The sequence below is a fragment of the Homo sapiens genome, chromosome 6 (assembly GCF_000001405.40).
Source record: "Homo sapiens chromosome 6, GRCh38.p14 Primary Assembly".
NCBI lineage: Eukaryota > Metazoa > Chordata > Mammalia > Primates > Hominidae > Homo > Homo sapiens.
The window spans coordinates 43,836,691-43,855,994 of record NC_000006.12 but is presented as its reverse complement, the minus strand read 5'-3'; the positions used below and the strand labels follow the sequence as shown (position 1 = coordinate 43,855,994).

Sequence of the window (19,304 nt, the reverse complement as noted above, 5' to 3'; positions counted from 1 at the left end):
TGGCTTCCGCCCTCTCCTGGACTGCACAATCTGACAGCTTCTATTATAGGCTCTCTCATTCTCGCCACAACTCGGCCATAAATATTAGATTGCTCCCATTCTACAGATAGGCCAATGAGTCCTAAGTAGGTTCAGTGCCTTGCCGGAACTCCAACAGCAAGAAATCCAAGTCCAGGTCTGTCTTGGAAGCCTTCTCCCTTCCCCAAATTTTACAATTTTACATTCGAGTAGCTTGTGACACTGTCCAGTTCTTCTGGCAGCCTTCCCAGAGCTCCCTGTTAGGAAAAGTGCATGGAACCCACTGCCATGGGAAAGATGCATCAGACACTGATGCTACTGGATGGTGTCAGGCTGACAGATCTGACTAGGTCATTCCCTTCCAGCAGACATCTGCTATGGCTCCCCATTACCCCAGTTCCCCACCACACTGCTGCGATGTCACCCCTGCAGGCCTCTCCAGCCTGAGCCCACACTCTCCCTGCTTTGAACCTCAGGATCTAGCCCCTAGCAGGTGGTTTCTAAAGCAGCCCTCGCCATGTGGTTTCTAGCCTCCAGGCTTACGTGCAGGCTGTATTCTCTACCCGGACATCCCCAGCACACTCCCCACTTCTCTAATTTAAAACTCAGATAAAGTATGACCACTTTCATGTAGACTTCCCTGCCTTCTATAGACCCGCTAAGACTGAAGCAGGTCCCCCTCCTATCCCCTATAATCCCTTGGCATACTCGTACCATACTAGAGAAAAATGATCTGCTTCTTTGCCATCCACTTGTCTATACCATGAACCATCCTTCCACCTCTGGGTCCCTGTGCCTAGCACTGTACTGGGTGCCCAATGGGTGTTCAGTGAACGTTTGTTGAATTAATGAATGAATGAAATGAAGAGATGCCCTGGGGAGGGAGCCTCTGGAGGCATGGGAGTGTCCAGGGGAGCTGTGGATGTCCCCTCCCAGCTGGAGAACCCCAGAAAATCCCTACCTCTCTGGAAACTCTGGGCTGAAACCAACAAGGTAGAATTGAACTGGGATAAACATAAGAACTTCCTGGCAGTATCCACTTCCTGTGGGGTCTGTGACCCAGGTGCCTCACAGCCCAGCTTAGAGAAATGGAAGGTCACCTCCAGCCCTCTGTGCATGAGGATCTGGAATCTCAGGACCAGCCAGAAAGGGTATTGCCTCCAGGAGCTCCTGGGACATAGTCCAGTCCTGTCCCCACCTCTGAGCAGCACAATACCTCAAGCTCCTGCCCCATAGGGAGCAGAAAGGCCCAGAAATCTGTTCACTTTGAGAAGGAAGAATGGAAACATTCAATAAAGAAATATTTCTGGAAACTTCCAGAAGCATGACACATGGCGGTCAGCCCCAGAGGGGACAGTCATCCTTTATGACCTCCCTGCCTTCAGTGAGGTCCTCAAGATGACTGAGCGCTTCAGCACCAGGATTCTTAACCAAGGAGCAGGTAGGAGAGAGAAATGTGCTGTCTGCAAAAGTGTAATCAATATGGTAATATCCGGGAAATGAAAACACGCACACACCCTGTTGTTACAAATATACCAACTGCAGACAAAGGTCTTAGCTGGTGAAACTATGCAGGGAGAGTGGGACAAAGCACAAGGCCATGGTTTAAACAAAGCTGACTGCACTGCTCGAGCAGTGCTTTTCAGGATGACTGTTTATAGACAATTGGTGAGTTATTAATACTAATGGCTGTCGTGCATTGTTCCTTCCTTACCACCAGACGAAGACAGCAGTTTTAGATGCATTCTTTTCCTTTGCCCCATTTAATGTATTAATTATGCTTTGCGGACGGGCGCGGTGGCTCATGCCTGTAATCCCAACACTTTGGGAGGCTGAGGCGGGTGGATCACAAGGTCAGAAGATCGAGACCAGCCTGGCCAACATGGTGAAACCCCGTCTCTACTAAAAATACAAAAAAAAAAATTAGCCAGGTATGGCAGCGCATGCCTGTAATCCCACTCCTTGGGAGGCTGAGGCAGGAGAATCGCTTGAATCCGGGAGGCGGAGATTGCAGTGAGCCAAGATCGCGCCACTGCACACCAGCCTGGCAACAAAGCGAGATTCCATCTCGAAAAAAAAAAAAAAGTATGCTTTGCTTTACACCTCTACTCTCAGACCTAATCTTTTGTGTGCTTGCTGGAATTCTACCTTGCCAATCATGTGAAAAGGCTTTGGGGTGGCTAGACAGGTACGTTCCATACAATTTTTGCAAAAAGACAACCAAGTTTTCTTCAACAATGAGGCAGAAATTCCCTGTTGCTTCCTCACAAGGTCTTCTTGGGTCTTCTCTGAAAACAGCCATGCATACCTTTTCTTCCAGATGCCCTGGAAGATGCCCACCGGCTTGCTGAACTCACCAGACAGCATTATGGGTGTTTCCTGCAATCCTTTTTTAACTTGATGGGCCTTTTGAGGACAGGTCCCAAGAGCATGGCTCTAAACTACCACAGCAGAATCACTAGGAAACTTTATTAAAAGTGCAGATTCCTGGGCAGCTCCTATCGCCTTTCTGCTCCAGAATACCCAAGAGTGGGGCCCAGGAGTCAGCCTTTTTCACAAGCTACCCAGTTGATTCTTCTGTGCACTCAATTTTGAGAACCTCTGGCCTAAAGCATGGCAGGTATTTGGGAAATATTTGCAGAATGAACTGTTGGTGAATGAGTTTCGAGAAGTGCAGTGCAAACAGAAGCGCCATCTGTGGTGGAGTTGCTCAGGATTCTTCCTGGCTATAGAACTGGGCAATGTTGCCTCTGAGCCACTCACTGGACCTTGCCTGGGCACCACACTTTGTCCCCATGCGGCTCAGGCTGGTGTTCCTTGTGACTCCTCAAGCTGAAGCTAAGGCTGGGAGTGATGAAGTGCCCCACTTTGCCCCAGGTAACTCCTGCAGGTGGGTACCCAGAGTAGGTGGCCAGGGGATCATCAAACTCTTTCCCCTTCAAACTGCAAACTGTATTCTCTGCCTTCTATGCCCAGCTGGGCTAGGGTAACCTTCTGTGGCCTAGTCATAGGTTCAGTTTCAGTGCAAAACACACGCCTACCCCTCAATGCTCATTGACTCCTATTCTGGGTATAGATTACTCCATTTCTGGGTACAGTCTGATCCTTGATCCTGGATACAAACTGGCTCTTAATCCTAGGTATAGACTGATCCCTAATCCTAGGTACAGTCCTGGATTAGGGATCCATATTCCTTGTCCTGGGTACAGATTGGTTCCTAAGCTTGGATACAGACTGACCTCCTACTTCTCGGTATAAACTTAACGCTGGTCCTGGGTACAGACTGACCCTTAGTCCTACCTAGTCAAAGTCTAATCCCTTTAACCCAGAAAACAGGCTGACACATAACCCTGGTCAGAGCCTGACCCTAAACCCAGATCTCAGACCCTTAATTCTAACCACAGACTGGCCCAACCCTGCAGAGATTGTCCATGACCCTGACCACAGACTGACCTAAATGAGGCTGGTCTAGGAGTGCATGCGGGAATTGGAAATAGATGTCCTGCCCATGGAGGCCAGAGAGCTGTGTCCACAAAAGGACAGGGTGTGACCAGCCAGAGTTGCCGGAGTTTTGGCAACTTGTGTCTTCCATAATAGAGCTGGGGCATTGATGGAAATGGAGGGTGCTAGAACCTTGTGACTTTGGCCAGGCACCAATCATCTGCCTCCTTCTGTGCCTGCCTGGCTGCCCCTACCCTGGGGCTCCCTCCTAGCCCCCACCTCACCTACTGGCTCACTGAGACAGAGCCAAACATGAAAGGGAAGGTGACGGCCTGGCCATAGGGCCCAGGAAAATGCAGGTATCATTAACAGCCTGGAGCACTGTGGCCTGTCCACTCTCAACCCTCTGCTGCCCACCCCTTCCTGGAATAGACCCCAGGCCACATACAGAGGGGGCAAGCCCAAGGTATGATACCAGCAGGGCCAAGTGGACTGTCCAGATGGGTAACGGGGGCCTGCCTTCCTCTGGCCTCCACATAGGGGCCGCAGGTGTTCACATGGTTGGAAATGGGAGGGCCAATGCTGTTCATAGGCCGCTGTCTGGTCCACAGGACTCAACTGGCCCTCCGAACGCTATCCCACTTTCCAGCCAGGATTGAAGGAGATCCCATCTTGGGTCTAAAGGAATGGGGGTGAAGACTGCATCTTGTCGTTCCAGTTCCACCCCATTCTGGCATGGGAAGCATGTGTGGGCTTCTACTCTATGGGAGATTCATAGCCTCAATCCTTAAGGAATTCTCAATCTGAAAGGAAAACACAAACCCTGACCTCAGGGAGCTCCCAGTTTGACAGTGGAGACAGAGAGGCCCTGCATCAAGTAGAAAAACAACCCCCACTGCTCTCAAGCACACAGCAATGAAGATATGTATCCTTGGTGCTACAGGCAAGTAAGTAGGAAAGACTGAATGGAGTAGACAGAGAAGTCTAATCCAGGTGGCCTCCTTGGAGGAGATGATACTCCTGTCTGCAGGAAGACCACCCCACATACACACCCGTTCACTGGCCCTGCGACCACCCCAGCCCCAGGAATGCTCAGGGCCCAGACCATTTCCCTCTCTCTGCCCAGTGCCCGGTAATCCTGAGGCCTGTACTCCTTCCCCCTGGGGAGTTGAGGATGGGTGGGGGACGGAACGGGCCTCCCAGGCATTCCTCCTGCATTCCTGGGGCCATGCCCTCCTTCCTCCCGGCCTCAGCCTGGCCATAAACTATTTCAGGCTTGCAAAATCTGGTCTGCTGCTCTCTTGCTCATAGCCCCCAGCGAGGCGGAGGCGTGGGTCCAGGCCAGAAAACCCGTAGCACCCACAGAGTCCAGAGGGTTCTGGTCAACTAGGACAGAGGAAACTGGGTGACCTCTTGGGCAAATGAACATACAGGGGCTGGGGAGCAGAGAGGATGGGGACTGGCCCCTCCACAGGGCAGCAGCCACAGGGCCCCACTTCCCAGAGAATGTACCCTGGGAAAAGGGAGAAAGGACTGGGAAGACAGGCCAGCTCATGTTTGGGGGTCCAGCAGTGGGCTGAGGGTGTTCAGACAGATTACTTCATATGAGACTCACCTCCCTCCTGACACGAGGCCCCCATGCCCAGGTTCATGTTATCATCCCCACTTTACAGATGAGAAAATTAAGCCTTCGACCAAAGCTCTTTTTGGGGCTTATGTAACGCCTCGCCACTCTGCCCATATGAAGTGCAGGGACTGGAGTCTGGCCTTTTGCCTCTCTACACCAGCCCCCACTCTGCAGCCTACCCCAAATGTCAATAAATGGCAGTGTTCTTTCTCTGTCAGCCCCACCTGCACAGCCTGCCCTAGACACCCAGTGCCCAGAGCCTCCACAGTACTCGTTCACCCTCTCCTCCTAGGATTCCCCTCCAAGTCCCCACACCCTGCCTCCCAAATGAGCTTCTACCTTCCTCCCCACTGCCACCTCCCTGGTCACAAGCTACTGTGTTCACACTCCCACTCTCCTCAGTGCCGTGGGGGCTTCCCTGATTCTGCTCTGGGAGTTCCTTGGAGAGGACTCTTAATTCTCATCCCTAGCTTCTCCTCCCCTGGGGTGAGCTTCCAGAGTCAGCGCCAGTGGGACCTGGGTGAGGGGATCCCTCCCACCCCCCAGGCAACTGGGGCCCAGAAGAAAGGGCCTGAAGCCACCTGAGCCAGGGTCTAGGGGCCAGGTCTGACACCTTTCTGTTTCACCAGGGTCTGGAATGGAGAGGGCACATCAGAGAGGCGACCAGCAAATGAATGAATGAATCCCACCATTCTGTGTTTTAGATGCTGACGATACGACAGTGAATACAACATGAAAAAACAAGCACACTTCTCACCCCTATGGAGCTTTATTCTGGTCAGGCAGAAGGAGAAGGAAATGTAAACATGCAAGGTCAGGTACTGCTGTGAAGCAAAATAAAGCTGTGGGTACTGTGCGAAGGATAGGCTGTGTGTGTGTGTGTCTGTGTGCGTGTGTGTGTGTGTGTTGTGCATATTAAGTCAAAAAATGAATCTGGATGATCCTGGGCCAGGTCTGACCCCAGCATTGCCACTGACTGTATAATCTCAAGCAAGTCATGCCTCCCCTCTGGGCCTCACTTTCCTCATCTGTAAAGTGAGACCGTGGACTGAAAGGCCATTGTGATCTGGCCTCAGTCTTGACCCTCCAGGATCTAACACATTTTGCCTCTGTGAATTTAATGGGGGGAATTATAGGCAGCTTAGAAGCAGTTCTGAAGGAGAACCTCTCTGCTCCAGCAATTCCCTGAGGTTCCAATTTTTCTGTTGATGTCACATAATGTGCATAGATTTGCATACTAGGCCCCCAAACTCCCAGGGAAGGCACGTCTCAAAAATGTCAACGATTAGCACAAATGACTTGACTTATATTCAGGCCTCTTCCCAGAGCAAGGGGAGGAAGTTGAGGTCACCTCCAGCTACAAAGAAAGCAGAATTCTTTGCCCTGAAGAGGCAGAGAGAGGAGCCCTGCTTCTTCTCCTCTCCCTGGTGCCCTCCAGCCCATTCCCTCATCTCTGCTCAGACACCCCTGGCTGGACTCCCCAACAAATGCCCAGGGGGACCTCCTAAAGACCTACTCCGAGTCACTTGATGACTTTGCCTAAGCCCCTAACAGGAGCTGCGTGACCCTGCCCTGCCCTGTTAGTGTCCAGAGCAGCAGCTTTCAGGGTTTACAGAAGCCTGGGGGATCCAGAGCACCTCCAACTCCAGTCCCGCCACCTCAGCCCATGCCAGGCCAATCCTAGAGGCTCCAACCTCTAATACCTCCCAAGGTCGGTAAACATTGCCACTTCCCCTCACAATGGCCGCCTGGTCAGGATTTGCAAATCACACACTCACATACATACTAACACATACACACGGAGGGGCTTGTGCATGCTTTCACACACACAGCATACTCACTCATGCACACACAAACACACACTGAGGTGCACTGAAGACTCCCACCCAGGACAAATGATCTGTGGGGAAAAGGAAATTAATGTTCATAGGGTGCTTTACTTATGCCCATCTCGTCTAATCCTCTCCACACCCTAGGAGCAACTTTTTGGCACTCCCATTTTGCAGAAGAGGAAACAGCCTGCCTAGGTCTGCTGATTCCTGTCCTGGTGAGCTCACTGCCCCATACTCCCACCCTTGTACACAAATGGAGGTGCTCTTACAGAAGTTCTGAGCCTGATTCTGCTGCTGCTTCTCCAGCTAACCTTAGGTACAACTCTCCCCCTCCCAAGGCCTCAGTTTCCTCATCTAGGTAATGGGAATCCTAATGCCTTTCTTTTCTCTGCATAGGCTTAAACCAGATGGCCCATGACAAGCCCTTCCAATTCCCGTGTCCCAGAGATGCCAAATTTGAGCCCCAGTCACCCACCATGAACCTGCCACCTATTCCAGGAACCTGGCCAGGAAGCCCAGGATGGGCTTCTTACCTTGTCTTCCCATTGGGGTGGGTCTCAGAGGAGGCCAAGCTGGGCAGAGCTCTCTCTCTCATTGGCCCTCAGGTACCACCCCCATTAGTGCTGACTTACAGCTTTGCACTGCTGCTGACATCAGCACCCATCTGTCTGTTGTGGTAAGAGAGGCCTCCTAGGGAAACAGGTTTGCTAAATCTCAGCCAGGAAGGACCTCCCAGCTGGGCTGTTGGGGCAAGTTTGGTAAATACCCTCAACAGGCACCTTTGGAAGCAGGAGCGGGTGATCAGAAAGCAATGCCTCCCCCAAGCAACCCTCTCACCTCCCTAGCCACCCCCAACCATGATCAAATTCCTATCCCTGGCTTTGGACTTTCCAGCTGGTTCCCTGAGCTACTCAGCCCATCATCCCAATAACCAGCTTCCTACAACGTCCATCTCCTATACCACCATCCCCCCAACCACTGCTGTCACCATCCTCTGTCACCTCCAATCATCAAAACCCCATCCGCCCCCACCTTCCTCCTCCTTCTTCATTCTCATCCCTACCATGAGCAGCACTCATCCATTCCAACTCAAAAGGTCACTATCTAATCCACGATCTATCTTACTTCCTGCCTAAATTCTTTATGGAGCAATAAACTTCCACTGGAATGATACCCAGACCACAAATCTGGGACCCAGTGACAGTTCCAGGAGGCCATGGTGCACCGTCTGTGGCTCAGTTGGTTTCCAATGGGGTCTATTCATATGGCATCTGTAAACACTCACATGATGCAGATGCTTCCCTTACTTAATACCCATCTGGCCCAGGGTGGGCTGAGGGTGGCCCAGCTGGATGCAGCACTATCCCTAATCTCTCAGAGCAAGCAGCAAGCAGCAAGCAGCATACCTGGCTTGTTTAAACACACACTTTGCCAGATGCTGAAGAACAACTAAAAGTGATCACAGTAGATCTGCTACCCTGATCAATCTTGCCTGTCTAAAGCTCAGATAAGTCTGTATAGGACTCTGTTTCCAAATCTGTCATTTCTGATGGTACATATGCTGGACTTTTCCTTGCAGGGCAAGCTAAAGTCAATGGAGTTCACACCCCAAGCAAGAGAAGAGCTTGCCCTAGCCTTCATCCAGCCTCATGTGTCTGCGATTTGGCTAGAAATTGTTCAGGGGAATCTTAATTAGCATTCACCTGTGGTGTTGTGTTAAAAAAACAAAAAAACAAAAAACACCTCACTTCAGGTTCCAAAGTCTGAGTTGGAGTAAAAAGATTGTTGGAATCCAGGATCCACCATACAACTGCTAAGCCTGTTTCTTCATCTGTAAAATGAGAATGACAATGTCTACCTCATAGGATAGGTTTGAGGGTAGAGTGTGTTAAAGAACTCTTAAGGACCTTTTGTCAGACCCAGCTTGACCACAAGATTGAGCTGAATCTGAATAAACATTCTAGAACACTGCCAGAAAAGCTACATTTACTATCTCGTCTGACCTATGTAATTTGCAGAGTTCTTTTTACATGGGTTACTTCCAAAATCAAAATTAACGTTATTACTGATGCTCAGTTAAAACAGCGTAGTAACTTCTGATTATTTCTCTCATGAAACTACCTATTTAGTTTTATACAGTCATGTACCGCATAATGATGTTTCAGCCAACGATAAACTGCACATATAACGGTGGTCCCGTAAGATGATAATGGAGCTGAAAAATTCCTAGCGCCTAGTGACATTGTAGTGCAATGCATTACTCATGTTTGTGGTGATGCTGGTATAAACAAACCTACTGCATTACCAGCCACATAAAAGTACAGCATATACAGTGATGTACAGTACATAATACTTGATAATGATCGTAAACCACTATGATACTGGTTTATGTATTTACTATACTTTTTATTGTTATTTTAGAGTATACTCCTTACACTTTTATGTTAACTGTAAAACAGCCTCAGGCAGGCCCGTCAGAAGGTATCCGGAAGAAGGCATTGTTGTCATAGGAGATGACAGCTCCATGCCTGTTACTGCCCCTGAAGACCTTCCAGTGCAGAAGATGTGGAGGTGGAAGGCAGTGGATGTTAATGATCCTGACCTCAAATAGGCCTAGGCTACCGTATATGTTTGTGTCTTCGTTTTTCACAAAAAAAAATTTAAATTTAAAAACAGAAAACAGCTTATAGAATAAGGACGTAAAAAAGAAAATATTTTTGTAGAGCTGTACCATGCGTTTGTGTTTTAAGCTGTGTTCACAAAAGAGTCAAAAAGTTTTTAAGATTTTTTTAAGTTTATAGGGTAAAAAAGCTGTATTAAGCTATGGTTAATTTATTACTGAAAAAAGAAATGTTTAAAATAAATGTAGTGTAGCCTAAATGCACAGTGTTTATAGGGTCTACAGTAGTGCACAGCAATGTCCCAGACCTACACACTCACACACTCACTCACTGACGTACCCAAAGCAACTTCCAGTCCTGCAAGCTCCATTCATGGTAAGTGCTCTCTATAGGTGTACCATTTTTTATCATTCATACCGTATTTGTACTGTACCTTTTCTATATTTACATATGTTTTGTATGTTAGACATACAAATACTTACCACTGTGTTACAATTGCCTCCAGTATTCAGTAGAGTAACACACTGTATGTGTTCATAGCCTAGGTGTATAGCAGGCTAGACCATCTAGGTATGTGTAAGTGTACTCTATGATGTTTCACATGACGAAATTGCTCAACAATGCATTTCTCAGGATGTGTCCCCATCGTTAGGTGATGCATGACTCTACTCTGACATCCTCTCCAGCTTTCATCTGTTTTTATTTTTATGATGTGCTGAAGACAGGACATTGTATCTGCTCTTCCCTCTGTAAGTCTTGCCATGCCCTTTGGCCAAAGGCAACTCAAATATGGACTTCCTACTGTCACCATCAAGGTCACTATGATCTAAGTGTTTTTTAGGGCTTGTGCAGAGAAGGAAGAAGATGCCCCCTGCCTTCTCTGCTCCCCATCATGTAGGAAAGAAGACACAGGCTGAGCCCCGGGAGGAGAGATCAAAGCTTTGGATCTGAAAGAGTGGTTCCAGCCCAGCAGCATGAACATGGCCTGGGAATGTGTTAGACATGCAGGTTCTCAGGCCCCACCCCACACCTGCTGGATCAAAAACTCTGATTTCTGCACTTGAGCATACATCACTCAAGTTTGAGAACCACTGCATTAGAGAACAGAAACCCTCAACCATAGCATGCAGGAACAGCGAAGCCATGAAGACACATCCAGGTCTGAGGAAGTCATTTTAGCCTGGAAAGGAAAAGAAGGAGGGCATCATCGGCATAGGCCTGGGAGCCCCCCACACTCAGCACTCCTGAAAGCGCACAGACAGGGAGGTCTGGGGTCTGGAAAAACAACAGGAATCTTGGGAATTATAAGGCTGAGAAGGAGGTGGGGAGGAGGCAACGTGCCTGGCTGCTGCTCAGTCCTCCTCACTGGCAGGGGGTCCCAGCAGCCTTGTTCCCCAGGCCCATGCTGAATTTGCTAGTGATGCTGGCATTCCCAGCTGTGGTTCGGCACCAAGGTCCAGTGACCCCCCTAGACCCAGCCCAGGGCCATTTCCCTAATAGAGACCTAACCAGAGGGCCAGAGTTTGGGGTGCTGACGCATTGACTATGTAAGGGCCCCGACCCACTACCCCATCCACTGTCCTCCCTGCCCCCTCCCCATGTGCCTGGGGCTTTCCCAGGAGTTGGAGCCACACTGAAGGGACATAGAAGCCACAATTCTTGCCCTCAGAGAGCCCAGCAAGCTGCTGGGGAGATGGATACTGAAGACCACCAGTTCCCAAGTCCTAAACCATGTGCCAGACATCGTGCTGAGCTCTTTGTGAACATTATAGGATTAAATGAGACAGTCACCCTGAAACAGATACAAACCCAGAGCAGAGAAGGGTCAGCACAGGAGGAATCTAACTGGCAAGGTGTACCACGGGCACCTGAGAGCCGGGCAGTCAAGAAGTTTCCCAAAGGGAAGGAGGCCCATTGCTGACTTGGAGACAGAGAATATGGAGGCAACAAGTTCATCTCTGTCTCTATCTCTCTGTCTCTTCCTCTCTCTGTCTCTACCTCTCTGTCTCTTTCTTTCTATCCTTCCTTCTTCCCATACAATAGACCACTCCATAAATGGGCAACCTCTCCTATGCCAGACTATGATCCTGTTGTTAAACCCCTATTGAGGCCAGGCATGGTGGCTCATGGCTGCAATCCCAGCACTTTGGGAGGCCGAGGCGGGAGGATCACCAGAGGTCAGGAGTTCGAGATCAGCCTCGCCAACATGGTGAAACCATCAATAAAGAGAAACAACCTACTGATACATGCCACAACATAGATGAATCTCAAAAGCACCATTCTAATGAAAGAAGCCAAACAGAAGAGACTATACATTGTATACTTCTATCTATAAAGACTTTCTGGAAAAGGCAAAATTACACAGAAAAAAAGCAGATAGATTAGTAGCTGCCTGAGACTGGTAGCCGTGGTAGGGATTGACGACAAACGGTATGAGGAGAACGTGCTTAGGGTAACAGAAGTGTTCTAAAACTAGATTATGCTGATGGTTGCACAACTGTATAAATTTACTTAAATCATGAAATGTGTGCCTAAAATGAGGATATGTTCTGGTATGTCAATTTTACCTTCATAAAGAGGCACTGACAATGAAAAAAGAAGATGGCTGATGGAAGGCTAGCTAGCTAGACATGTGAAAAAGTGATTATAACAAGATGTGGATGATGTGATTATATTATATGTTTGGTGATGATATGGGTGATCACTGTAAAATTTTTTTCAACTTTTCTGTAGAAGTTTTCATGCTAAAATGTTGGGGAAATGTTAGGAAGCTCAAAGCAGGAAAGAGATCAAAGGATCTATGGTTTAGAAAGGTAATTTTGGCCACCAGGATATTAAAGTGAAACCACTGACAATGGTGTTGGTGAGGACGTGAAGAAGCTGGGACTGTCATATGCTGCTGCTACAACCACTTTGGAAAACTCGCAGTGTCTATGACACAGTAATTTCACTCCTAGGTATTTAGTAGAAACGTGTACACTTGCACACCACAAGGCAAAGATAAGAATGTTACAGCAGCATTATCCATCACAGCCCTAAGCAAGCAACAACCCAAAGATTATCAGTAGAATGGATTAAGAATTGCATAGTCATACAATGGGACACTATACCACAATGAGAATAAGTGAACCGCACACATGACATGGGTGAATTTCAAAATGGTGAGCCAGAGAAACCAGAAACAATCAAGTTCATCCAATGTGATTCCATTTATACAACGTTCCAAAGTCAGGCCACACTAACTGTCAGGAATAGAAGGCAGAAGAATGCCTGCCTTTGATGGGAGTGACAACTGGGAGGGGACACCAGGCAAGGGTTACAGGAAGCTGGCAAAGCTATATTTCTTGATCTAGATGATGTGTTGCAGGTAAAAGATCACTGCAATATTTACTTATGATTTGTGCAGTTTTCTCAGTGTGTTTTTTAATTAGAGGGAAAAAAAAGTTTACTAAACAATTGGGGGAAGACAGAAACCTGGCCGGGCACAGTGACTCCTGCCTATAATCCCAGTATTTTGGGAGGCCAAGGCAGGAGGATCACTTGAGCTCAGGCGTTCAAGACAAGCCTAAGCAACATAGGGAGATCCTGTCTCTACAAAAAAAAAAAAAGAAAATTTAATTAGCTAGGTGTGGCCGTACATCCCTGTAGTCCTGGTTTTTGGGGGGGCTGAGGTGGGGAGGGTTGTTTGAGCCCAGAAGGTTGAGGCTGCAGTGAGCCATGATCGTGCCACCGTACTCCAGCCTGGGCAACAGAGTGAGACCCTGTCTCAAAAAAGAGAGGAGAAAAGAAACCTATTTGACCTTCACTCAAGGACACCCTCACCTTAAACCTGACCTCTGAGGGGCTTCTGGAGATGCAGCGAGTTTGCTTCCGCCCCTCTGAGCAGCCTGGGACAGTCTTCGGCTACACATCCAGCGTAGGCAAAGTCCTTGGCATTTGTCAGATCTGCAAGGTCAGAGGAGAGGAAAGAGGCATTGGAGCCTTTGATGCAGGATAGCCCACAGAGCCCGCAAAAGTCCTAGAAAGTTTGGCTGCCACCCTAAATCAGAATGAATCACAAAGGATCATTCCAGCCCGGTCCTGCATGAGATCAGGGGTGAGCAAGCTGCGGGTGAACAGAAGTTAAGAATTGGTGAGACACATCAGGCCTGCTCTCCTGCTCAAAGCTGCCGCCTTCAAACAGTCCTCTCTGCCTTGTTATAGTTGTCTAAAAAGGCTTTACTAAAAATCCACTAAAATTAACTCAGTAGGAACTCTTTTTGTAAAAAGAATACTCATCCTTTTGATATATTTTGTGTTGGTGAGGTTTCCATTTTCAGATGACAGGGCCTCTTAATACAGAGTCTACCTTTTTTTTTTTTTTTTTTTTAATAATCAACTTCAATTTTCCACGAAGGGAAGGCAGGGAGGTTGGTTTACAGGTTATCCATAGCAGGAAGTCTAATTCCAGGTAGAGCAGTCAGGCTTTCCATGATTACAGCAAATTGAGTACTGGCATTGTCTGTGTGCCTTTGTAGGAGTGAGAAAATGTTAAAAATGTGATTAGAAATTGCAAACCCCTGGCTCAGGAATGAAATGGTGAAAAACAAGCACAACCTAAAGCATTATCAGATTTAACCAATAGTTTTAATATGCTAACAGGCCCCAGAAGAGACTGCCACCAACAACGTATAAACTTGTGAGCACCGTAATATTGAATCAACATATTGTTGTATCTTTTTTTTTTTTGGTCAGGGATGGGGTGGGGATGGAGCTTCACTCTTGTTGCCCAGGCTGGAGTACAATGGCGTGATCTCGGCTCACCGCCACCTCCACCTCCCAGGTTCAAGCGATTTTCCTGCCTCCACCTCCCAAGTAGCTGGAATTACAGGCATGCACCACCACGCCTGGCTAATTTTTGTATTTTTAGTAGAGATGGGGTTTCTCCATGTTAGCCAGGGTGGTCTCGAACTCCCAACTTCAGGTGATCCACCTGCCTCGGCCTCCCAAGGTGCTGGGATTACAAGCGTGAGCCACCGCACCCTGCCTGAATCAACATATTGAAGGAATATGCAGCTGACCTTAGCAGAGACTTTCAGGAGCCTTTTGCTGGCTGTAGACCAGTCTAGACCATATGGTGGGCTGGCTTCTCCCAACAAACTCCTTGACAGACTCAGGCAGGTATAGGGGAGAGGGGCTTGAAGGCCAAATGATCCCCCAAGAAACTCCATAACAGACTTCTCTGCCCAAACAAATTTGAGAAATGATATGTTCAAATGAAACACACACTCTGTTGGTGAGGCTGAGGAAACAGGCTCAAACTCAGCTGGTGGCCCAGTGACTGGGACCACCCCTTAAGGGGGACAACCTGATGATATCTTTCAAAATTAAAAATGCACACGGTCTTTGACCCAGCAATTCTACTCCCTGGAATTTTTCCTGTTGATGCACTCCCACAAGGAGCAAATGACGTGTGGGGAAGGCTATTTGTTTGCAGCATTGTTTATAATAATAAAAGTCTGGAAACAGCCCAGCTCTCTCAAAAAGGGTCTGGCAAAATAACCTCAGGAGGAGCAGCGAACACTTATTGAGTGCTTACTGCACACCAGGCACTGTCCTAAGCCATTTACAAGCTTTATCTTATTGAATCTCCACAAAATGCTTCAAGGTAGATGATGCTGTTATCTTTGGATCACAAATGAGGAAACTGAGTCACTCAGACATTGAGTAACTGGCTCAACATTAAACAACTGGCTTGAACGAGAGCATTCTGCCTCCAAAGACTATGCTCTTAACCACCTTATTATACAATCTCTTCCAAATAAACATTTGAAACATCTGTTTGGTAGAATAAACTGGAGTGAAGAAAAAGAATGAGCCAGCTATCTGTGCACTCACACCAAATGGTCTCCAGATTATTGTTAAGTGAGAGAAAAAAGTTGCAGAACGGTGTGGAGAAAAGTCATCATTCATGTGGGAGGAAAACAGTTTATAAATGTATATGTTTTAGACTACCTTTAGAAGGATACACAGGAAACTGGTAACTCAGGGGCCTCCAAGAGAAGGACTGAGTAAGTGGCTAGAAGAAAGGTTAGAAGAGAGGCTTACACTTCTGTCTGAATTTGTTTTTAACTTCTTATTTATTTTACTTTTTTATTTTTTTAAGCATACAGAAAAGTTGCAAAAATAAGAACTGCTGATGTCCTTCACCTAGGTTCCCTAATTCTTATTGCGCTTGCATTTTTCACTGTGTCCATATAGTATCTCTTATTTATTTCATTTATTTATTTTTTGGAAATAAGGTCTCACTCTGTCGCCCAGGCTGGAGTGCAGTGGTGCGATCTCGGCTCACAGCAACCTCCGCCTCTCAGGTTCAAGCTATTCTCATGCCTCAGCCTCCCCAGTAGCTGGGATTACAGGCGCCTGCCAACACTCCCAGAAAATTTTTGTATTTTTAGTAGAGATGGGGTTTCACCATGTTGGCCAGGCTGGTCTCAAACTCCTGACCTCAAGCAGTCTGCCTGCTTCGGCCTCCCAAAGTGCTGGGATTATAGGTGTGAGCCTCCACGCCTGAACTAAAATTAATTATTTAAAAATAAGACAATGCTAAACAAGTATTTTCTACTTCATAAATTCTGGGAGATTGTTAAAATGCTAGCTGTTCAAATCTCTCAGAAGCAAGCCAATTGCATAGCATTTTCATGAAGTCTATCTTCAAACTCACCCACCTTCTGGAAGAGACGCCTCCCAACCCAGAAGGATGTGCCTGAGCCAAGGGTCTTAGAGAAGGGGCCCAAGGAAGCTTCCAGAACCATAAGTAAGGCCAGAGGCAGCTGTGCCTCGCTCAGGGGTGGGGTAGGGCAGAGACAGGGCTGAGGTGGCCCACAGGGCTCTTGCCTCCCAAGTGGGTTCTCTCTCCACCCAGCTGCCAGTGAGGACCACAGCAGAGAGGAAAGAAACAGATGCATGCCAAGTGTCCGAACAATGCCAGCAAGCCCTCCCAGTCCTGCTGAGTCTCTTTTATTACCTGCCCAGGCCCTGGTGCCATGGGGCTTAGTGTCTGAGATGGACTGAGGCCTCTCATCCTGTGAACCAGGTGCTGGGGAAAAACCCAGGTATACACACATGGAGGACAGGGGACAGGTCCCCTGCCATCATTAAAGGCATTGCCTCCCCTGAGCACTAGCAGCCACTCAATCCCAGTGCCAGTCACTTGCCCCGTTCCCAGCACAGCCCCTGGGGCCCTGCTGTCCTAAAATCATCTGCTCTGGCTTTTCTGGCGCTTTGCAGGGTTCATCAGGTCTGTTCCACTCGTGTGTTTTTCCTTCCTGCTCCCGCCCTCATCAGGGATCTCTGGGGTTCCCTGAGGGCAGGGCTATGTCTCCCCCTCAGACTGGGGCTCCTCAAGTCAGGAACCTTAGAGAACAAGCGACTGGGCACTGTCCCCTCCTCCCACCCTCCCTTTTGGTTCCAAGGCCAGGTGTTTGAGCAGGCCGTCATTTCACACATCCCAAGTCTGGGCACATGCACCGCCCAAAGCCCCTTGCCTCCCTGAAGGGGAGGCTGAAGGCCAGCCGCTGACACCAGTGGACCCACGGCGGGATCATTGCATAACAGCAGCCTGGCCACAGGATGATTCAGCACTGAGGCCTGCACAGCACTCTGACTTCTGTGGAAGACTCAGGACAGGGCTCCTCAGAATCAACAGACACGAGACCCAAGGATTCCACCTCACCTGGGGACGCGATGTTGCAGCCCTGGCATATTTGGGCCTCTTCTGGCTGCCCTGGGCCTGGCCTCTCTGTGTCTGGACCTGAGTGCAGGTACCTGGCCTGGGTTCCAGCCTGGGCAGGGCCAAGAGAGTCACCCTGCCACCAAAAGCCCACTGTCAGGACTTAGACTGCCCTCAAGCAGGGTTGTGGCCCAGCAGGAAAGTGACCTGGGGCCAGGGAAGGGACCCCAGGGGCAGCCTGGGGCTGGGGGGGGTCAACTTGGCAGTTCTTTTTCAGACCACTAGATGTCACTTCCATTTCAAAGGAACCCACTGGTTGGAATTTTCCCCAGTCAGGTCCCCACAGCCTTCAAGTCTTAAAGACACACAGACCACAAAAGAAAACTTCATTTTCCCCGGAGGACCAAGACACTGGAAACCTGGCCAGGAGCTGCCCCCAACCCTCAGCTGAAGCTTCCAGGGGCTCCATAACATCCCATCCCAACCCTGGAAAGAGCCAGAGGTGATGGAACTCCATCTCCCCATCCCCCACCTGTCCTACAGGTTAGTATGGGGATGGTATTTTCTGAAATGAACAAAAAAATGAAAGACGTGATGAAATGAATGTGAGTGCATTTGAGGGGGACGATGTTTGAAACAGGGGACATATATGCCAAAGATCCTCTTCAGGGCCAGGAGATTCCAGGTTCATCAAGGTCATGTTGTCCATCCCCAGGCTTCAGACTATCCTCAAAAAGTTCGGGTAAGGCAGCGCTGAAGGGAAGTTCCAGGGACCTTGCTTTCTCCACTCCAGTCCCCAATATTCAGTCAACATCTCTTGGCTGGCTGGGGCTGATTATTATAAAGTACAACCTTTGTGAGGTAAGTATAAAGATAACCCCATTTGACAAATGAAGACACAGAGGTATGGAGAGGGTTAAGTGAGAAAGTTCTCCCCAAGCCTCTTGCTGCTGTCCCATCTCAGCTCCCCACAGAAATGCGGCATGGATTCAGCTGGTTGGTTTATCTACAGCTCAGGTTGCTGCTTAAAGACTCATTCTCTTTAGTTCATTTGTACTGGCTTTTACCCAGTGGTTTTCAAACTTGGCTGCCCATTAGAATCACCTGGGGAACTTTCAAAAATTCTGATGCATGGCTGGGCACAGTGGCTCACACCTGTAATCTCAGCACTTTGGGAGGCCAAGACGGGAAGATGGCTTGAGCTCAGGAGTTTAAAACCAGCCTAGGCAATAGAGTGAGACCTTGTCTCTATTAAAAATTTAAAAATTAGCCGGGTATAGTGGCATGCACCTATAGTCCTTGGTGCTACTTGGGAGGCTAAGGTGGGAGAATTGAACCCAAGAGGTCGAGCCTGTAGTGAGCCGTGATCGTGCCACTGCACTCCAGCCTGGGGGACAGACTGAGACCTTGTCTAAAAAAACATCTGATGCCCTGGTCACCCCATATAAATTAATTCAGAATGCAGGAGGGTTGGAGTAAGTCAGGCATCAGTATGCTCTTGTAAATGTCCAGGTAATTCCAATGAGTGGCCAAGTCTGTGGACCATTATTTAACCACTCCCCCAACCTACCCTCAGCCAACACTGAGGGTTTACCTACAGGCCTGGCAGGGTGAGATTGGAAAGGCTGTGTTGCTATTAATGATTATTTAATCACATTTAATAATAGGATACCCAGAAACAAATACCTCACATACTGTAAGGCAGGAGGGCATGCATTGTTACTTTCCCGCAGAGGGAAGACTGACGTTCAAAGAAGTGAAGCAACTCACCCAGCGAATAAGTGAGTAGAACAAGGGCTAACACCCAAGTCTTCTTAGTTCTCAGACAAATGCTCCTGCCTCTTCATTATGCCTCCGAGATAAGGTGAGCTGCTTCCAGAGCAGTTAGCATCATACATAGAAAACTGTTCATTGTCAGTATCTGACCTCTAGCCCCAACCACTTATCAACAGCCAGTCATAACCACAGCTGACCCTTTATCTTGACTACAAGCTTGCTTTACCCTGGCTACCACTTGACCCCTAACCCTGGCCACTGCTGGCCCCTAATTGAGA

General features: G+C 48.4%; 3 long non-coding RNA genes across 5 annotated transcripts in view, besides 3 other annotated features; 2 read left to right on the top strand and 1 right to left on the bottom strand.

The window, feature by feature from the left end:
• Nucleotides 1–19,304, bottom strand: part of LOC105375070 (uncharacterized) — a 107,357-nt gene that overhangs the window by 48,521 nt on the left and 39,532 nt on the right. Inside the window, exons 2-3 of one of the 2 annotated variants that reach the window (XR_007059589.1) lie at nt 13,362–13,484; nt 10,636–10,719 (exon numbers count right to left, since the gene is read on the bottom strand). This is a non-coding gene — a long non-coding RNA (uncharacterized LOC105375070). Of the gene's footprint in view, nt 1–10,635; nt 10,720–13,361; nt 13,485–19,304 lie in introns of those variants that run through there. The other variant, XR_007059588.1, reaches the window with a different exon arrangement.
• Nucleotides 3,359–4,005: an enhancer, noted in NCBI's record as "H3K4me1 hESC enhancer chr6:43819727-43820373 (GRCh37/hg19 assembly coordinates)". NCBI's record gives its function as "activates a minimal SCP1, AML or CMV promoter by ChIP-STARR-seq in primed H9 embryonic stem cells {active_cell/tissue: H9 hESC(primed)}" and the evidence as "EXISTENCE:reporter gene assay evidence [ECO:0000049][PMID:30033119]".
• On the top strand, nt 3,662–11,119 carry LINC02537 (long intergenic non-protein coding RNA 2537). The gene is made up of 4 exons (NR_149142.1): nt 3,662–3,818; nt 5,791–5,899; nt 7,063–7,234; nt 10,173–11,119. It is a non-coding gene; the product is annotated as a long intergenic non-protein coding RNA 2537 (long non-coding RNA).
• Nucleotides 4,006–4,652: an enhancer, noted in NCBI's record as "H3K27ac-H3K4me1 hESC enhancer chr6:43819080-43819726 (GRCh37/hg19 assembly coordinates)". NCBI's record gives its function as "activates a minimal SCP1, AML or CMV promoter by ChIP-STARR-seq in primed H9 embryonic stem cells {active_cell/tissue: H9 hESC(primed)}" and the evidence as "EXISTENCE:reporter gene assay evidence [ECO:0000049][PMID:30033119]".
• Nucleotides 4,653–5,299: an enhancer, noted in NCBI's record as "H3K27ac-H3K4me1 hESC enhancer chr6:43818433-43819079 (GRCh37/hg19 assembly coordinates)". NCBI's record gives its function as "activates a minimal SCP1, AML or CMV promoter by ChIP-STARR-seq in naive H9 embryonic stem cells {active_cell/tissue: H9 hESC(naive)}" and the evidence as "EXISTENCE:reporter gene assay evidence [ECO:0000049][PMID:30033119]".
• On the top strand, nt 17,196–19,063 carry LOC105375069 (uncharacterized). Of its 2 annotated transcripts, none has more exons than XR_001744130.1 (3): nt 17,196–17,341; nt 17,583–18,111; nt 18,984–19,063. It is a non-coding gene; the product is annotated as an uncharacterized LOC105375069 (long non-coding RNA). The 2 variants fall into 2 exon arrangements; XR_007059590.1 differs by lacking the exon at nt 17,196–17,341 and having other exon boundaries at nt 17,548–17,793; nt 17,966–18,111.